The sequence below is a fragment of the Homo sapiens genome, chromosome 11 (genome assembly GCF_000001405.40).
Source record: "Homo sapiens chromosome 11, GRCh38.p14 Primary Assembly".
Classification (NCBI taxonomy): domain Eukaryota; kingdom Metazoa; phylum Chordata; class Mammalia; order Primates; family Hominidae; genus Homo; species Homo sapiens.
Window position 1 is genome coordinate 57,382,903 of NC_000011.10, and position 19,204 is coordinate 57,402,106.

General features: G+C 46.9%; 1 protein-coding gene across 4 annotated transcripts; it reads right to left on the minus strand.

Annotated features, from left to right (window-relative positions):
- Positions 1-3,877: 3,877 nt before the first annotated feature.
- Positions 3,878-7,748, minus strand: PRG2 (proteoglycan 2, pro eosinophil major basic protein). Of its 4 annotated transcripts, none has more exons than NM_001302926.2 (6): positions 7,698-7,748; positions 6,985-7,054; positions 6,108-6,415; positions 5,675-5,806; positions 4,852-4,963; positions 3,878-4,631 (listed from the first exon to the last, which is right to left on the minus strand). In NM_001302926.2, exons 2-6 carry the CDS (start codon positions 7,040-7,042, stop codon positions 4,573-4,575), a joined length of 669 nt encoding a protein of 222 aa, NP_001289855.1. In that variant the 5' UTR covers positions 7,043-7,054; positions 7,698-7,748; the 3' UTR covers positions 3,878-4,572. The 4 variants fall into 4 exon arrangements, with proteins under 4 accessions (NP_001289855.1, NP_001230174.1, NP_002719.3 ...); NM_001243245.3 differs by having other exon boundaries at positions 6,141-6,415; positions 7,694-7,748; NM_002728.6 differs by having other exon boundaries at positions 7,694-7,748.
- Between the last annotated feature and the right edge of the window lie 11,456 nt (positions 7,749-19,204).

The following is a 19,204-nucleotide window of genomic DNA, read 5'->3' on the forward strand; positions in this document are numbered from 1 at the left end:
GCCAGATGTCTCTGCCAAGAGCTAGTGGACTTGTCAGGGTGAACTCAGAGGCATCCTTGTGGGATGCTTCTCAGAACTATGCCTGGCACATGAGTGGAGGGTGACCCTTGTCAATTAAAATGTGCAGATTGGTAGGACCGGGCACGGTGGCTCATGCCTGTAATTCCAGCACTTTGGGAGGCATGTGCGGGTGGATCACCTGAGGTCAGGTATTTGAGACCAGCCTGCCCAACACAGTGAAACCCTGTCTCTACTAAAAATACAAAAATTAGCCGGGCGTGGTGGTGGGCACCTGTAATCCCAGCTACTCAGGAGACTGAGGTGGAAGAATAACTTGAACCCGGGAGGCAGATGCTGCTGTGAGCAGAGATCACGCCACGGCACTCCAGCCTGGGCGACGGAGCGAGACTCTGTCTCAAAAAAAAAAAAAAAAAAAAGTACAGATTTATTCCCCATATTCCACCCCAGCCCTCCATGGCTCAGGGAGCAGGGACAGGCAGCCCAGAGGGTGAGAAGACCTAAATTCCTTCCTCTTCTCTGCTCTTCCAAAAGACCCACAAATGGAGAAGTAACTGAGAGGCCATTTCTGAGTCTGATTGCAGAGTAACGGCCTTGATCACTATCTCCGTAGCCCAACGGACCAAACCCTCCACTTATCTACTTGACTGTAGGAGGACTGGCCAGGTCCAGGACCTAAAAACCTGGTCACTGGATTTCAAGCTTGAGACCTCCCTAGTGGTGGAGGGTGGAGGCATAGACCCCCATTTGCCATTATTCTTCCTCATTCATTGGCCCAAGCCAGGGGTACCATTTCACTTCGTGGCTGGGATGACCAATAAGGTTGGCTACTCTCAGGAACCAATACTACCATGAGCCTCACACTCATTCATTGTTTCTTTTTCTTTTCTTTTTTCTTTTTTTTTTTTTTTTTTTTTGAGACAGAATCTTGCTCCGTCACCTAGGCTGGAGTGCAATGGCATGATCTCGGCTCACTACAACCTCCGCCTCCCAGGTTCAAGCAATTCTCCGGCCTCAGCCTCCCGAGTAGCTGGGATTAGAGGCACCTGCAATCATGCCCAGATAATTTTTTTATTTTTGTAGAGACGGGGTTTCACTATATTGGCCAGGCTGGTCTTGAACTCCTGACCTCAGGTGATCTACCCACCTTGGCCTCCCAAAGTGCTGGGACTACAGGTGGGAGCCACCATGCCCGGCCTTGTTGTTTCATTTTACAGATGGAGAAATGACATCTCAGAGACTTTAAACAAGTTGCCCAAGGTCACAAGCAAGTAGAGACAGGCCTGAACCATAGGCTCCCAGCTCCTTATCCACCGGATAGCTGTGTTTCTCTAGCCTCCTCTCATCAACCTCCCTCCTGAACAGACCATTCCCTCTTTCAAGTCGATCCTGTTTTCACTGTATATAAACCCTGGGCAAAGATATTCCAATGACCTCAGTGACCTTTTCTGTCTGATTTAAAACAAGAAAAAACATTTTTGAAGGTCTTCCATGGACCAGACACTATGCTTCATTAAGGTTTTTACATCTGTTACTTAACAACAGCTTAATCCTTAAAAGTCATCCTACAAATTGGGTATTGCCATCTCTAGTCTATATAGGTACTACAAAAGCTCAGAGAAGTCAAATGACTTATCCAAGTTTGCACAACTAGTAACAAATGATACATCAGATCCTAGTCTGTCTGACTCCCAAATCTTTGCTTTCTTTGACACACCCAGATGTGTTACCCCCAGATGATCTAGCCAATGATGAAAACATTGCTTTCAGCATCCATGGAACCCCAAGCCTCTGGCTTAATGTTTGCATTTGTGTTCACAGGGGTTTCAAACTCCGCCTCTTGTTCCAAGATTCAGTCCATCCCCTCATTATGCAGACGGTAGGCCTTGCCATCTTGAGAGGCAGTGTAGGGTGATGTATAATGAAATCACAAGTTCCAGGGTCAGCCCCTCTCTGCCTCAGCTTTCTCATCTGTAAACTAAGGCTAATGACAAGACTTACCTCTAATGAGATCAGCTTAAGCAAAGCTCTCAGAACTATGCCTGGCACATGAGTTGAGTGAGGGTGGCCCTTGTCTATGAAAAAGCAATGAGTGCACTGTTGATTGAGCCCCTACTCTGTGCTCTGCACAGTGTAAGGAACTCCAAGGATTCAATGATAAAGAACCATAGATAAACAGTTTCACAGAGCTTAGTTAGTATCTTACTGGAGAGGAAAATTCACACACAAACCCATATTTTGGAATATTAGCCCAGTCCCCTTATTTCATGATTTTTACTTTTTAAGAAAAAGAAAAAATCTCTTTCTTTCTTTTGAGACGGAGTTTCGCTCTTGTTGCCCAGGCTGGAGTGCAATGGCACGATCTCGGCTCACTGCAACCTTCGCCTCCCAGGTTCAAGCGATTCTCCAGCCTCAACCTCCTGAGTAGCTGGGATTACAGGCATGTGCCACCACACCCGGCTAATTTTTTTGTATTTTTAGTAGAGACGGGGTTTCTCCATGTTGGTCAGGCAGGTCTCAAACTCCCGACCTCAGGTGATCCGCCTGTCTCGGCCTCCCAAAGTGCTGGGATTACAGACATGAGCCACCGTGCCCGGCCAAGAAAAATTTTTCAATGGATGTACAATGTGCTCCTATAAAGCACACTATAGAGTGGACTGCTCAGGGAAACTTCACAGTGAATGCACCAATGTAAACATGCCTAGGTCGAGATACAGGATGGGACTAGGAGCCCTGCAGCTTCCTTCGTGCCCCTTCTTGATATTACTCCCCCAAAGAAGATCTCTGTGGACTGGAAGTCAAACTTCTGTCAAAGTACACACCCACAGCGGCAGAGATTTATGAGGAACAAGACAAAGTTCACCTAACATTTAGCACAGTACCTGACACCTAGTAAATGCTTAATAAATGGGAAATATTATTACCCTTTGTTGTTAATATTGAAATAAGGGAAGCAATGCCTTTCCACACCAGAATATAAAGTCCAAGAGGGCAAGGAGTGAAAGTTCCACCTCAGCTGCATCCTCACAGCACTCACCACAGGGATGAACCCATAGTCCACCATCTTTGAAATCAACAGATTCTTGTGGAACAATAGTTGAAATGAACCTGAGTTTGATTTCTCTCTCTTTCTCAACTTACTATGTGACCTTAGAGAAGTAGCATCCCTTCTCTATACCACACTCCAAAAAAATAGAGTTCTTGTTTCACCCCTCTCTGAGCCCCTAATCCCATATGAAGATCTATGAATTGGAGGAATGCTGGAGAAAAAAATGGCTTTAGAACATTGAATTATTTTCTTCTGCTGACCTCCCTAGTACAGAAGGGGTTGAGAATGCCTTCCTCCCTCCCCTCTGATTAAAGCTCCCTCACCTCCAGCTGGGCTGGTGTCCTGTGTCCCAAGATGAACCCAAGAGTGAGACAGTCTGGCTTTCCTCCCCCCGTGCTTCATCCCCGTGTGACCATAAGGGGAGAGTAGCCAGCTGTAAAAGCACAAGGGTTAAAGTAACATGCTTTGGAGCAGAGTTGAATTTCAATATGAGTTGCATTTAGAGGTTCAGTCTTGGGCAAGTCTTTTGACAGATCCTAACTTCTCTGAGCCTGGTTCTGTAAAATAGGGCTCATAATTATTGATCACATGAGGTCATCTAGGCAAGGTGCCTGCCACAGCAGGGGGTATGTTGTGGGTGCTCAATAAGCGATAACAACTAGTAGATGTTTTTGTGCCTATGTTACAAATAACCATATATCCCAAGTGCCAGAGGACTATGTCTTGTATTCCCAGGCCTCATTCAGAGTCTGACGCATGGCAAGCTGTCTTATATCAGGTTTCCCCAGAAGGAGATCCTGAGAGAGGGAGTTGCGTACAAGTGTTTATTTGGGAGTTGCAGAGAGTAGGAAGGAGCAGAGAATGCAGTTGAGGAAGGGAAGGCAGCCCATAAAAATGCATGGAATAAGGCCAACTACCACAGCAGGCCACTGGGAAATGGTGCCCAATACATGTTAGATTTATTCCACTTGAGGGGCCGGGGATTGCGGTACTTATACATTCATTCCTGAATGTTGTGGACTGTTCCCAGGGACATGTTAACTTCCTTACATATAAAACCAACCACAGTTCTGGGGTTGGAGAGAGAGAGAGAAAAGGCCTTTGGTTACAGAGATGCAAACTGGGCCATTGGGAGTCTACCTACAACCTTGAAAGGTCCTGGCAGCACTATGCAGGTGCCCAGTAATCAGGTGTTCTATGAAGAGAACTAGCTGAGCCCATTCCTCCATCTCCAAAAGGCTCCATAGACCCAACTCCACCCTCCATCCTCCTCCTCAAGGAGTAGTAGCTTCTGACACTTCTATGAAAGTTGTGGTGTGGGGAGAGATGATAAGGAAGAAGTTTCAATGAGGGCTAAGCAGAGTGGATCCGCGATCAGAGGAGAAAATAAATCCATTTCAGTAAAACCCATTTTATTGCAGGGAGGTGGAGGGAGGGATGGCAAGCAGAGGAGGGGAGGCAGCTGCCCAGGAGAGGGCAGCTCTGAACTGCTGGCTGGGACCAGCTCAGTAGGAACAGATGAAAGGAAGTCTTCTGAGGCAGTGGGCTCGACGCCAGTGGCCTCCTGTGAAGGCAGAACAGAAAGGGACTTTCAGCCTCTTGTCCATCCCAACTCAACCCACAGGAGGGCCTCTTTTCCCACCCACACACTGCTGTGGAGTCAGAGTATATAAAAGACCCAGGAAGCCTCTCCCACAAAGGGTCAGGCTCTTTGTAGCATCTCCTCCTTGGGGCACTTCCCATCTCCCAGACCTTTCCATCGTTCATCCCCAGCCCCACCTCACCTCGGGTACACAGGGCCACGCAGTGACCACCGCGGGACCAGGGCTGGTGAGCAGCCCAGTATGCAAAGTTCCAGCGGCTGCCGTCAACCCACTGAAAGCGTCTGCAGCGACCCTGGAGAAAGCAAGAGGGGAAGAAGGGATGGGGCAGAGGGAAGGCAGAGAAGCAGACCTGGCCCCGTATCTGCCAGCTCTTTCTGCTGCCCACCGGGCAATGGGCCCTTCCCTGCTGGACCATGATGGGAACTGTCCTAGTCATCTGAAATGCTGATCCACGGCAATTATCACCATCAGATTCTATGCATCCCAGTGACAGGCTTGTCCTTCCAGCCCTAACAAAAGGTAGAACAAGGGTTGCCAACTCATCCTAGAGATGAGGAAACAAACTCATGGTCTTGTTTTAATTTTTTTTTTATTTTATTTATTTATTTATTTATTTTTGAGGCGGAGTTTCGCTCTTGTTGCCCAGGCTGGAGTGCAATGGCTCCATCTCGGCTCACCGCAACCTCTGTCTCCCAGGTTCCAGTGACTCTCCTGCCTCAGCCTCCCAAGTAGCTAGGATTACAGACATGCACCACCATGCCCAGCTAACTTAAGTTACATAGATAGTGAGAGATGGAAAGGAACTTGGACCCAAACCTCCTGATTCTAAATCCTTAGCTCTTCCCTGAATGCCCAGGCAGCCCCCTCAGTGTTGTCTGTGGGTGTCCATCTATCCCTGGTTCTTCTGGAGATTATACAGGAGAAAAACAGACAAATCTGATGCAAGCTGAGTGCTGGCTGAGATCAGCAGGTGCACCCCATTTAGTGTTCACACTTCTCTTACCGAGCCTGTGATCCTGCCTCCAATCCAGACTTGACCCTGGTTGAGCGCGCTGACAGAACACTGGATTCGATAATTAATATTGAAGTTGTGGATGGAAACCAGGTTGCCCCTGTAGCACCTCCGGCAAGTAAACTACAGGGCAGGATAAAAGACAAAGAATGGAGCATCCTTCCTACATGAATTCACATGGGTCTTGAGTCCCCACAATTCATTCCCTCCCTCCCCTGCCACAACCATTTGAAGGTTGGAGACCAAAATGCAACTTCTGTTTGTAGGTGGCCCTCCCCTCTTACCCCAACACCTCTCTGAGGCTCAGGTTCTACTGACACCCCCAGGGCCCTCAATGGGAAAAAGAGCCAGTGATAGCAATGCTGGGGGCATATCCCACACCCGTTCCATGCTCCCACCTCAGCCTCAGCCATAGGCCACTCACCCAAGCTTGACTAAACGTCTGAAGACTTCTCACCAGGAGGTAGCGGCAGGTCTGGCACCCAGGGATGCCCACCACTTTTACTGTGTCCTCTTCCTCAGGACACGTAAGGTTTTTGTCCACCATATCTGGCACTGAGATAGACTCAACAGCCCCATCTTTCTTGGAGGCATCTTCACTTCCAGAGCCCCACTCCTCCTCTTCCTCCAGCTCCCTGCAAGGGGTCTCCTCCATCTCCTGCTCTGGTGTCTCCTCATCCTCAGGCAGCGTCTTAGCACCCAAAGGGGTCTCAAAGGTGGAAGTCTCAGACCCTGGCAGGGAGGATAGCTAAGTGTCCTTCCTTCACATCTCCCCTTGTTCCTCCCCAGAACCACAGACAGCTCACACCTTGCCCTGGGCATCAGAGTGCTCAACTCTGCCTGGGAAGGGGAACCTGGAACCCAGTCTCTATGAGGGGAACCCAAGCTGCCTGACAAGGTCAAGGTGGTTAAGAGCATGGACTTAGAGTCGGGCAGTCATGGGCTTGGGTACTGGTTCCATCATCCACCAGCTGTATTTCTGTGAAATGGGTATACAATACCACCTACTTCATGGCGATGCTAAGAGAGTTAAAGGAGAGAAGGCACTCAGTAAGCTCAAAGTAAGCATAATGGAGAAAGGACAAAATTGGGAATGTCACAGTAGAACCAAGACCACAGACATAACAGACGCCTTGAGAAATCCTTTCAACTCCTGGCCATAGAGTCCCCATCCCTTTAAGCACACAGAAATTCAGAAATAGAAGACGATCAAAGAAGGGGGTGGGTGTGTAACTCTGACCCCATCTACCATAGAAAGGGAAAAAACAGAGAAAGAAAGACTGAAGGCAAAAAACACTTACTTAGATGAAGAGCAGAAACTGCCCCAAATAGAAGAGCCAGAAGTAAGGGGAGTTTCATCTTGGCTTTATCCTGCAACGGAGAACACAGTTTGTCATTGACACACACAGACACACATGCACACACATCACAATCACACCATTAGGGGACCGTGGGAGTGAGGTGGAGAAAAAGAAGGCCTGAATAGAAATCAGGATGGGCCAGAAAAGCTCATGCCAAGCCCAGCTCCTGATGCTCCAGGATCCAGGACGCAAGGACCTCTTTCTAAACAGAACGCAGCAAACCCTGAGGGGTGGCTGAGGCTGGCTTTCCTTCAGGCCCGGAAGTAAAGAAGGGACTATTACGCTTATTTGTTTGTACTTAATGGGTCCCTCAGAGTCTATGACATAAAAAAGGCGGGAGAAGCAATGATTATTGGCTTTCCTAGGAACACATAGGACTTAGAAGGTATGTCCCCTCCTCAGAGTTCAAGAAGCCACCCACACCCTCCTCCATGTCTCCACCATCTCCTTTCCCCAGCCAAGGAGCACTTTCACATCCCGCAGAAGGAATGTGCAAGGCAGAGGATGAAGGCTGCCCCTGCTGACATCCTCATAACCTGAAAGCCACAGGTAGACGCCTGCCAGCCCTCCAGAAACTGTCAGCCACAGCCAGGGACCTCCTGGGAGAATAAACTGTCACCAGCTCCACCACAGCAGAGAAAGCACTCACCCACCCAGAGACCTTCCTGGGTCTTTAGATCTTCCCAAAGCCCAGGTCCTTCTTTGCTTCCTCTCACAAAGACTTCTTATATAGAGGCCTTGGAGGAACTTCCCCCAGGGAGAGAGAGTTTGCCTCTGTCAGAGGGAGATAGCAAGGCTGATAAGGACCATTTCATCACTTCCCTGGGGAGCCCACTCATTCATTCAGTGAAGATTTCTCTCCCGATACCCACTTCAGGAACCCAGGGGCCATCTGGAACAGCTCTGGGCAATGGTTCTTATCCTGGGCTACACTTCAGAATCGCCTTGGGTGCTTTTCCAAAATACATATCTCCCCTGTTTTACTGGTGTTTTGAACTGCCACAAACATTTTGAGAACAAATCTGTCCATACCTATTAAAATAAAAAAATGCACATTTGATCAGTTTCACTCTTTTGAGACTATCCTTTAGGCATAAATGCGCCTATAAGTAATAAAACTTTTACAGAGTTATGTTATTCCTTGACTATTTGTAGAAATGAAAACAATATTGATATCCATCAATCGGACACTGAGTAAAATGTGTCCTCTCTATTCTACAGAATGTTATATGGCTATGAAAAGAAGAGCTGGACCTGTATCTATAAACCTGAAGAGATGTTTCTGTGACATGAAGTGAAAAAAGGCAAGATACTGAGGAAAGTATTTAGTATGTGAATAGTTTTACAAGGAAAAAAAAAACCCCCGCATAGGTGCTTATCTGTGAGCATCCTTATGTGACCATTGATGGAGGGAATGCTAAAAGGAATCACACCAAATAGTTGACCTTGTTGCCTCCAGAAGCAGGGGAGGAGAGGGAAGAAAGCAGGAGACAGATTGTTGTTTATCTTCTTTTTATAACTTTGCATTTCTTCAGTGGTTATGGTAAATGCGTGCTGAATCTGTAATTTTGAGGCTGCCTTATTAAAGATTTTTAAAAATATGCAGATGCCCTGCCCAGAAACTTCTGCTTGGCTAATAGGTCTAGCGTGAAGGTCAGATGTCTGCATTTTTTTAAAAGCTTCCCAGCTGACTGTGATGGAAGATGGGTCTAGGAGTCACTGTCCTGAGGATCTTCAAGTACAGGAAATGTTCACGTATGTCTAACTTCTTTCCTTCTGAATCAGACCACTCAGTTGGCCAACCTACCAGCCTTCATTATGGTAACATTTACTGAACATTTTTAAATGCCATGCATGGCAAGTGGCTGGATGCAGTGGCTCATGCCTGTGATCCCAGCACTTTGGGAGGCTGAGGTGGGTGGATCTTTTGAGGTCAGGAGGTTGAGACCAGCCTGGTCAACATTGCAAAGCCTTGTCTCTACTAAAAATACAAAAATTAGTCAGGCATAGGGGTGGCTGCCTGTAATCCCAGCTACTTGGGAGTCTGAGGCAGGAGAATCACTTGAACCCAGGAAGTAGAGGTTGCAGTGAGCTGAGATTGCACCACTGCACTCCAGCTTGGGCGAGAGAGTGAGACTCCGTTTCAATCAATCATCAATCAACAAAATACTGTTCATGGCAAGTATTACCTCATTTAACCTGATTTTAAAAACCTAGTGAGGTAGGTGGTTGATACCCCATTTTCCAAGTGAGACAACCCAGGCTCTGTGTGGCTCCTGATCTCCCCGCAACACTGCCCTTATTGGATCGATGCCCTGTATACACCCTCTTGTAGCTCCAGGGGCTTGTCCTTATCAGTTAGTCATTTTACTTTTCTTGTGAGATTACTTGGTTAATGGATTAACATCTGTCTTCCTTCGTGATGGTGAAGGCTGCATCTCTTTACTCACCATTGTATCCTTGGTGCTTAGTACAGTGCCCGGCACATAGTAGGTACTTAATAAATATACATTGAAGTAATTAATGGTTAAGTAACGTACTCACGTAAACAACAGGGTTAGAATTCAAATCCAGTTCTTTCTGGCACCAAACTTCTCTCCCCTCCCATATGCCTGCTTGTGTGTCAAAAATGATGCTATCCAGGTGGAGATAAAATCAGAGTGAAGCATAGATCCTGTATTCAATTAGCTTACAACCTAATTTGTAAGATGAGTAAATTGAGGTCAAACAAAAGGAGAAGGGTTAAGACCAAGCTAGGAAACATCCTCTGCTAATTCAGAAGGAAGTCCATGCATAGTAAAACAGAGCAGAAAAGGCTCCATGAACCAAGGAGCTGATTCCTACCTGGATGGAAAGATGCAATTAGAAGGGAAGGAAACAGGCATTTCAAGTAGAAGGAACAGCTTGAGCAAAGGTGTGGAGGTTGGACAGCCTTGGTATATGCACAGGACACTGTAATTTCCTTCATAACTAAAGTTAACAGTACACACATTGGGAAGGAATGAGAAAAACGAGGAACGATGCATTTCATCTTGAGCCGAGGATGGAGATAACCCTCCCCTGTCTCCATTGATTTAAAAAGACAGAAGCAGGAATCAAAGGAATACTCAACAAGAGCCTAGTCAGGAGCTTTGAGCTGGGCTCTGCGCACTCCCATCTGCAAGCCCTCCCCACAGGACCTCTTTGGCTGTTGGACAGAGGATTACTGTCATAAGGTGATGAGAGGGAGCCCATTCTTGGAAACCAGTTGACTGTTCAGGGACCCTCACTCCTAGGGAAGTCTCTCTTTTAGGTCATACAATCCAGGATCTGAAATCCACAGCTTAGCAACCCTGAAAATTTCATCAACATTCACTGGAAGTATACAGCAGTGTCTGAGAGGGTGGCTTCTGGAGTCAGACAGTCCAAGTCAGACTCAAATTGACTGGGTCTAGCACTTAATAGCTGCGTGTCGTGTCCTGGGCAAGTTCCTTAAACTTTCTGTACCTCATATCATCATTTATGAAGTAGGGATGACAATACCTACCTCACTGGGTAGTGTGAGAAATGAATGAGATAATTCACATGTAGCATGCATGCTGTGAGCTGCCCAGTCACCTCACCCCTTCCTGTGGTTTCTTGGATTCCATTTCCTATGGATCTTGGTGGAGGACAGGCCTCTCATTTTTGAAGACAAAAGTTCCTAATAGATTTTCAGCTTCCTTTGCAGCTAACGCATATGACTGGGCTCTATCAAAGAGAAGAAGCATCTATTCAAGATTTTGAATCTGGAGCTAGTGACCAAAAAGATGGAGGCCAAGAAGGCCTCTCTCTGGCGGTGGCGTTGACAAGATTGAGTTCCTGGAGTTGCAGTACCCACAGAGGCACTGCAGGATACATTGATCCAGGGTCTGAGCCCTACAACATCCTGGGTGCCAGACACAAGGTCTAGGTCTCAGCAGCAGTGGGATCCTCCCTAGACCTGTTCTGCAGCCTGACTTTGGCTCCATGTCTGGTTTTCCGGCCCTTCCTGCAATTTCATGAGCTACTCCGTTTCCTTTCAGTCCTGGATTTTTCTACTTAGATCAGCCAAGGAGAGTTTCTGCTGCCTGCCATTAAGAGCCCTGACTGATGCAGCATTTAGCACAGAAACTGGTATTTAGTAATTGCTTAGTAAATGAATGCTACCCAGGGTCTTTGAGTGTGACCAGCATTAATCAAACTTTCAAGAGACTGATGTCTACTTTTGGTGCCAATGACATAAATGAGGTTGAACGGTACTCACAAGGGGCCCACTTGCCCAGGCTCTCTGATAAGCACATTCTTTCCCTGCATCACAACTGTGGTGTGCTCAGGACTTGAATTTCAAATGGGAGCGAAGAGCTGGAGGCCTTGGGGTCCAGTGCCTTTGAGCAAGAGAACGATACCCATCATCTCCGTTTAATCCTCAGCCCTGCCTCCTTCCCCAAGAAATGTTGACTCATCACTGCAGGATCCTGAATCTTAGGCATCCTCCTTTCTAGCCCTAAAGTTACTACAGAGCTTGGAGGTTCCTAAACAGACTCAGTCAATCCTCTCCATACCAGCACTTCCAAAGGGGACCTGACAGATCACCTCTGCATTTAATCTTTTCTGATCTAATTCTCGGGGGGCTCATCCCAACTTTAGGCTTGTGGGGGAGTGTGCTGTAGCTCCTGGTACAAGCTGTCCAGGGTCAGACCTGGTACTGAGGGGTCTGCTCTTCTACAAGAGTGGGCTGTTGCAACAGGAGAAAAACATGTGTGCACCAGGCAGAGCAGAGATCACCTTGGAGATGGTGTCAATACCAAGGAGCTCTTGGGATGCCCCTCCCATGCCCAACCCCCAACACATGACAGCTTAAAGACTAAAAAAACCACCACAGCTCCAGATATGCAGCTCACACTATTCAGCCCTCACCTCCACCTGCATCCCTCCCCACACCCTGCAGCAGAGCTTTTCAACCTGGAAACTATGAATAGGCTTCAAGGGACCATGAACCCTGCAATTATAGAAAACATGGTGTGATGTTTCTAGGGTGAAGGTCCAAACCCTCCATGAGATTCTTTGATGACTTCCCAAAAGGCAAGAGAACCTCTAACTTTACTGAGTGATTTTTTTCTGGAAGAACCAAGAATGACATTCCACTGTTCTTCACCAATAAAGTCCTGCTTGGCCCTTTTGACAGGCAGAATTCAGTTGTCCCCTGGTGCACTGTGCATAATCCCTGGGACTGTAAATATGATGGATTTTACTCCTGTGGTTGTGTGATGTTACATGCCACAGTTGACTTTAAGGAAAAGGAACTGCCCTCTATGGGTATGATCTAATCAGGTGATCCCATAAAAGAGACAGGGCTCTCTTCCTGAAGTCAGAGAGTCCAACCATGTGGGTGATTCAATCCAAGGGAAATTCTCCATCACTGGCTTCAAGGATGGAAAAGACCACGCACGTGGCAAGCAATGTGGGCAGCCTCGAGGACCTGAGAGCAGCCCTCATCTGACAGTCAGCAAGAAAACAGGACCTCAGCCCTGCAACTCCAGGGAACAGAATTCTGCCACAACCACGTGAGCCTGGAAGAGAACCCTAAACTCCAGATGAGCACACAGCCCAGACAACATCTTGATTTTAGCCTTGTGAGACCCTGAGCAGAAAACCTAGCCATGCTGGGCCCACACTGCTGATGAACTCACGATGAGCTAATAAACATGAGTTGTTTGAAGCTGCTAAATTTGAGGCAATTTGTTATGCAGAATAGAAGACTAATACAGCCCTCAAGGCCCATCTCCCTCCCACGGTGAAATTTACAGTGGGTGTAGGGATTGGCAGAGAAGGGTCCCACAGGAACGGGCTGAGGAGCTGCTGGAAAATAACGAAGGTACAGCAGAGAGGTAAGATGGACACTGAGAAAGGGAGGTTTGATTCAGGCCAGAGATCCCACCATTCTCTCCCTCAGACCATAGGAAGCCAGGTGGCCCTTCTAGTTACATGTTCTGCTCCAGGATTCTCTCCCCACCCTCAGAAAAGTGACAGACTCCAGGGACCTGATCTCTGGGGCTGATCAACTGCTTGTTAACTGGGCTTGGCCAACATCCCCACGGGGCAGATAAAAGCTGGTGAAAGAGCTAACGCCACTGCAAGGGTGAATGGCTCGGGAGATATGGACTGGGCGGTTGTTCTGTGAAATCGGCCTGGACAACAGTTCCCCATTTGGATGCCCCAACAATTGACATAGACCAAGACGATTGGCATGTGAGATCTGGAAGGCCCCTTAGAAACGAACCAGCACAGTCCCCACGTCTCAGATGGGTTCTTCCCGCTTCCTCAGGAAGTGACATTATCCTCTTTCCCCTCCAGGAACCTCTGCTCCCAGAGACCATGAACACTCAGTGAGCTTAGAAGGAATATGTCTTTGCAGTAATTGCCTCCCCTGCCCCATCTTCTACCTTCCCCAGTCCGTCTACTTCTCCCTATCTCTGCTGCCACCTCACTAGCCCCTGCGACCATATTTGATAACATGTATCACAGGCCATTGTCCCCATGCTTCCCATTCAAAGTCTTCCCACATAGTAGCAATTAACCCAAACCCATTACCACCATCTGCAAAGTCTTTCATGATCAGGCTCTTGTCTACAAGCTCAAACTCACTGGCATGACAAGTGACCCTTGTCATCCTGGTCCCAGCTCCACTGGCCAAGCTAAAGCATTTGTACTGGTTAAAAGGCCACCTCCTCAGATAAGCCTTCTCCGAGAACTCTTTCTAAAAGAAGCCCACCCACCCCACTCTCCTATTTGGTACTTTTGTTACACATCATCACATTTATTTCCACAAGAACATTTACCAAAATGATATAATCTTGCTTTCTTACTGGTTTCTTGTTTATTATCTCTCTCCTTCAGAAAGCAAACTTCATGACAACAAGGACCTTGTCTGTCTTGTTCACTGCCTATAACTCTGCCCAGGTCATAGAAGGAGTTTTTCCATTACATAATGAATTAATTAATCAATTGACTAATCAACTTGAACTTTACCCCCTGGAGAAAGTTTAGCTGAGTTTAGATCAGAGCACACATGCATTTATTTCGATTCTACAGGTATTTTCTGAGCCTCATCCACCATGGACACAAGCCTCTACCAGGCTCTGGATCATCGATTGATTCATTCATTTATTCAACAAATACTTAAAGAGAATCTCTAGTTGCAGGGAGGTTTAAGGTAGCTGATAAATAAGGCAAACAGAACGAGCATATTAGTAAAACAAGGCAATATATTGAGGAGATACTCAGAAGTGTAGAACTAACATGAATGGAAGAGACACACATTTTCAGTGTTGTCAGGATCACTTAAAGTGTGACGGCAGGCAGAGAAGGCTTGCTTGAGGAGGTAGCGCTTAGCCTGGGCTCAACAGACTGACAGATAGGATAGGATAAGCAGAGGAGAAGTGGGATGGCATTTCTAGGGGCCAACCATCTCCTGGTAGTGCTGGAATTTGAGCCAGGATATGGATGATTTTGTGTTTCTTGGAGGTTAAGTCAATGAGTGAGCTGGCTTCTCTGCTTTGCACCAAAGCCAAGCTCCTCCAGCAAGTGGTGTAGACTCGCTGGCCACTTCCTCAACACCCTCTTCCTCCTCTTACCATAGCAGTCTTGTTTCTGTTATCCCTATTGCTCCACCAAAACTGCTTTTGCCCAGGTGCCCACTGACTACCCCATTGCCAAACCCAACAGACATTCTTCAGTTCTTATCCTACTTGACCTCTGCAGTAGTGATACCTCTTCACTTCCCCCTTCTTAAGAACTGCTTCCCTTCTCAGTAGCCTTTGTGGCCATTCCCTCCCAATTTCTGTTGGCAGGCTCCTCTTATTCTTCCAGATGGTTAAATATTGGGGATCACCTGGCTTCTTGGTGCACGTCTCTCCTAATTCTGCACACCCACCACGGGTTATGTCATCTACTCTTGTGGCTCAAGCTACCAAATATATACGCAGATCATTCCCAAGTCTTCATCTCCAGCCCCAGGCCTGTTTCTGAGCTGCAGACTCACACATATGGTCACCCAAGATGCTTCTCCACTTGGATGTCCCATGGACATTGTGAGTCCAACACATCTCAGACTGAACTCAACACACACACACACACACACACACACACACGCACAAACCTGCTTCACTTTTTGTGGTCACTTTCTCAGGAGAAACCATCACCTTCCAACTAGACCTGCAAGGCAGGACTCTGGTCATCCTTCACCCCTCCTGCCCATCATCCACACATTAGTTAGTTATAGTGCTTTCTTCACCATCTCATCCAGCCACCCATCCCCATTGCCTCTGCCACTTTCCTAGTCACCTGCTGACCGTTTTTCACCTGGATCATTTCAGTGGCTCCCAAATTACTTTCCCTGCCTCCAGTCTTACCACCCTCCTCCACCTCTGATGCACTGTCTACAAGCAGCCAAAATGAGCTTTCTAAAACCCAGAGCTAATCACACCAGCACTTTCCAATTACTCCTTCTTGCTCTCAGGCACAGTCTCCTTATGTTTTAGCGCCTACTTACCTAAACCTCTCAACACTGTGGACATTTTTGACTGGATACTTTTTTGTTACAGAGGCCTGTCCTGTGCATTGTTAGATGTTTAGCAGCCTCTCTAGCCTCTACCAAAAAGATACTAGTAGTACCTTCTCGGCTGGGCTGTGACAATCAAAAAATGTCTGCAGACATTACCAAATGTCCCCTCTGAGGCAAAACTATGCTCAGTTGAGAACCACTTCTTGACAACCTCAATTCTCCCCCTCACCACACACACACAGTGCTCCAATCATGTTGAACACCCTGCTATTTTCCTAACATGCCATGATCACCCATATTTTGTCACATGTCATTTCATCTGCCCAGAATGCCCTTTCCTCCCTAACCACTGCGCTCTTTCCTTTTCTTCATCGAAGTTTCAGCCAAGGATCACCTCTTCCAGGAAGCCTGCCTTGGCTCTCCCAGAGAAAGGTAGCAAGGACACTAATCAGGGCTTCTCTCTAGTCCAGCCCTCTTCCCACCTCATTGTAGCAATCTTCTTGCTGTTTCCCCAGTAGAGCCAGAGCCTTGCTTCCTTCACCTGTGCCTCTCTGGTCCTGCACAGTTCTGGAAACACAGTACAGGCTCAATTCATGTTTGCTGTGTAAGTGAATAAATGAAGAAAAGCAATTTTTGTTTAAGCTTGTCAAAGATTGAGTTGGGCTCCCTGAAATGAGATCTTAGGCAGAAATTTTAATAACGATAACAACAGCAGCAACTAATATTTAGGAAGTGTTTCTAGGTGCTAAGTATGTTAAGTGCTCCATATTATTCAACCTTCTAAACAACTCTAGGACACAAGTGCCATTAAACTACCTAAATTACAGACAAACAGCTGATCCTGGGAATGGTTAAGTCATTTTCCAGGTAAGTGTCAGAGCCAGGATCCGAATGGAGCGGCTGCACTCTTGTCCGTGACTCACTTCCCCTGTGGTGGTGAATAACTAGCACAAAGCCATTTACATACGTTGTTTAATGTAACTTACCCTGTAAGTTGCATGGGGCAGGTGATGATTTGGAAAGCACAAAGAATGTGGTCCTCGGATGTTAAAAGACCCTGGTTAAAAAATAAAAATAAAAAAATAAAAAAATAAAAGACCCTGGTTCCATTCTTGGCTCTGCTGCCCATAAGCTGGACCTCCTTGGCAGTTCCCTCATCCCCCCAGTCTCCTGTTGCTCATCTGTGAGTTGTTAAGGATGACCACCTCACAGATGTTGCAGGGCTTGAGGAGGACCAATTGAAATGTGGTGGTACAATAATCTACTAAGTGCCTGAAACATGGTGCCCCCAACAAACAAACAACAATGCTGAATATTGTCCTATGTTAGGGATAGAAAAAGCAAGGCTTGGAAAACTTAAGTGATAGTCCAAATTTTGCATGCCAGCAAACGGTGGAGCTTGGAAAAGAACTCTAAGTCTTCCGTTGGCCATGAGGAGAAATTTTCTGAGCCTCTTCTGCATAAGTGCTCATTACCGTGTGAGACACATCACAGTCCTCACCATCAGGGAACTAGAAGCTCAGAGCTGGGATTGTAGGTTGAATCTCTCTCTCTCTCTCTCCCTCTCCTCTCTCTCTCTCTCTCTCTCTCATGTCCAGTATTTACTGAGCCTCCATTCTGTGCTAAGTAGGGTACAAAGTTCTCAGGATACAGTAGGCAATACAAAATATACAGCTGCTGCCTGCGTGGAGTTCCCAAATGAAAGCCTAATGGAAGACACAACTGAATATTTTTAAAATCCTATGATGGTACATTAAACTGCAACTGTGACAAGCTCTATGCCAGAGAGGTACCTGGTGCTATGAAAACCAGTACTAGGTAACAGTACAGAAAGGAAGGGATATCTGAGCTGAGAACTGAGGGAACTATAGGAGTTAGCTATAGGTTGGGTAGGACACATTCCACAGAAACACAATAAAACTGTTTCACAGCCAGGTGCGGTGGCTCATGCCAGTAATCCCAGCACTTTGGGAGTCTGAGTTGGGCAGATCACAAGGTCAGGAGTTTGAGACCAGTCTGGCCAATATGGTGAAACCCCGTCTCTACTAAAAATACCAAAAAAAATTAGCTGGCGTGGTGGCACATGCCTGTAATCCCAGCTACTCGGGAGGCTGAGACAGGAGAATTGCTTGAAGGCAGAAGTTGCGGTGAGCCAAGATCGTGCCACTGCACTCCAGCCTGGGTGACAGAGCGAGACTCTGTCTCAAAACAAACAAACAAAAAAACTGTTTCACTGTCATGTAGCGTACTTGACCTGTAATGTGATTTTGCGTATGTAATAAAAATTAGTAGCTGCCATTAATGAAGGACCTACTATGTGCCAGGGCCGAGCACTTTTCACGTAGAGCCTTACTTATCCTTATTACTCTCTGAGGTAGGCATTATAGGTAGCAAACAAAGGCACTAAGATGCTTCATGACTCCTACAAGGACACCCAATCTAAGAACGTGATAACAGGACCCAGATCTGTCTGCCTGCACTCTTCCCCAGCCCAGGGCTCTGAAAGGAATTCATAGCCCTGCCCCTGGTAATTGACATTTCTGTGTGCTTGGATTCTCTCCATTGACTGCTGGGGAGACAAAAGTATCGCAAAAATTGAATATGAAGATTGATATTTTTCATTGACTTTGGCTTAAGATTTGGGGTAACTCGAAAGTCTTTTTTTTTTTTTGCCTTTGAAGTTTTCCCATTCCAAGTAATAAAGAACTTGTGTTGTTTTGTTCGGTGGAGACAAGCTAAAGCGAGTGCTTGCAGGGAGGTTTTCTATCCTGAACTATAATAGTGGCATTCCAGACTCCACAAGGTGTGAAGTGTGGTGCACGCTCTGAAGGGCACACAGATGTTACTAATAACACCTGCAGCCACACACAGCACACCTGCTACAAGCCAGGTGGTTTATATTGATCACTCACTACATGCCAGGTCCCCTTTGAAGTGCTTGACGTTCATCCAGCCACTCAATCCTTACAACTCTATAAAGTATTCCTATTGTTACTCCATTTTACAGATGAAGCAGCGGAGGTACCAGGAATCTAAGTGCCAGAGCTTGTGTGGGGAGGAACTGGAAGTTGGTCTTGGACAGTCCATCTCCAGAGCCCAAGCTGCTGCTACCTTTTATTCCCAAGGTTACTCTCTAGTCCTTGCAACAAACTGCCGTGGTACCTATTTCCATTACAGGTGAGGAAACTGAGGTTCAGGGTGGTTAAGGTCACACAGCTGATCAGTGCCTGCAAAGCCCAGAGCTTTCCCACACACCCTACTGCTCTAGCCAGCCTGCAGGCCTGGGAGGTGACACTGGACCCAGGAAAGAATATGCTGAGGGGCCTGTGAGCAGATGTTTGGGATTAGAACATAAAAACTCAAAATTGGGCGGGCCACGGTGGCTCATGCCTGTAATCCCAGTATTTTGGGAGGCCGAGGCGGGAGGATCACGAGGTCAAGAGATCAAGACCATCCTGTCCAACATGGTGAAACACAGTCTCTATTAAAAATACAAAAATTAGCCGGGTGTGGTGGTGCACACCTGTAGTCCCAGCTACTCAGGAGGCTGAGACAGGAGAATCGCTTGAACCGGGAGGCGAAGGTTGCAGTGAGCTG

Excerpts from the sequence above, each read along its gene's own strand:
- PRG2 (NM_001302926.2), bottom strand. The coding sequence starts at position 7,042 with ATGAAACTCCCCTTACTTCTGGCTCTTCTATTTGGGGCAGTTTCTGCT. Across the intron at positions 6,416-6,984 it reads AGTTTCTGCTCTTCATCTAA|GGTCTGAGACTTCCACCTTT; the intron begins GTAAGTGTTTTT and ends CCTCCCTGCCAG. Across the intron at positions 5,807-6,107 it reads AGACGTTTAGTCAAGCTTGG|TTTACTTGCCGGAGGTGCTA; the intron begins GTGAGTGGCCTA and ends CCTGCCCTGTAG.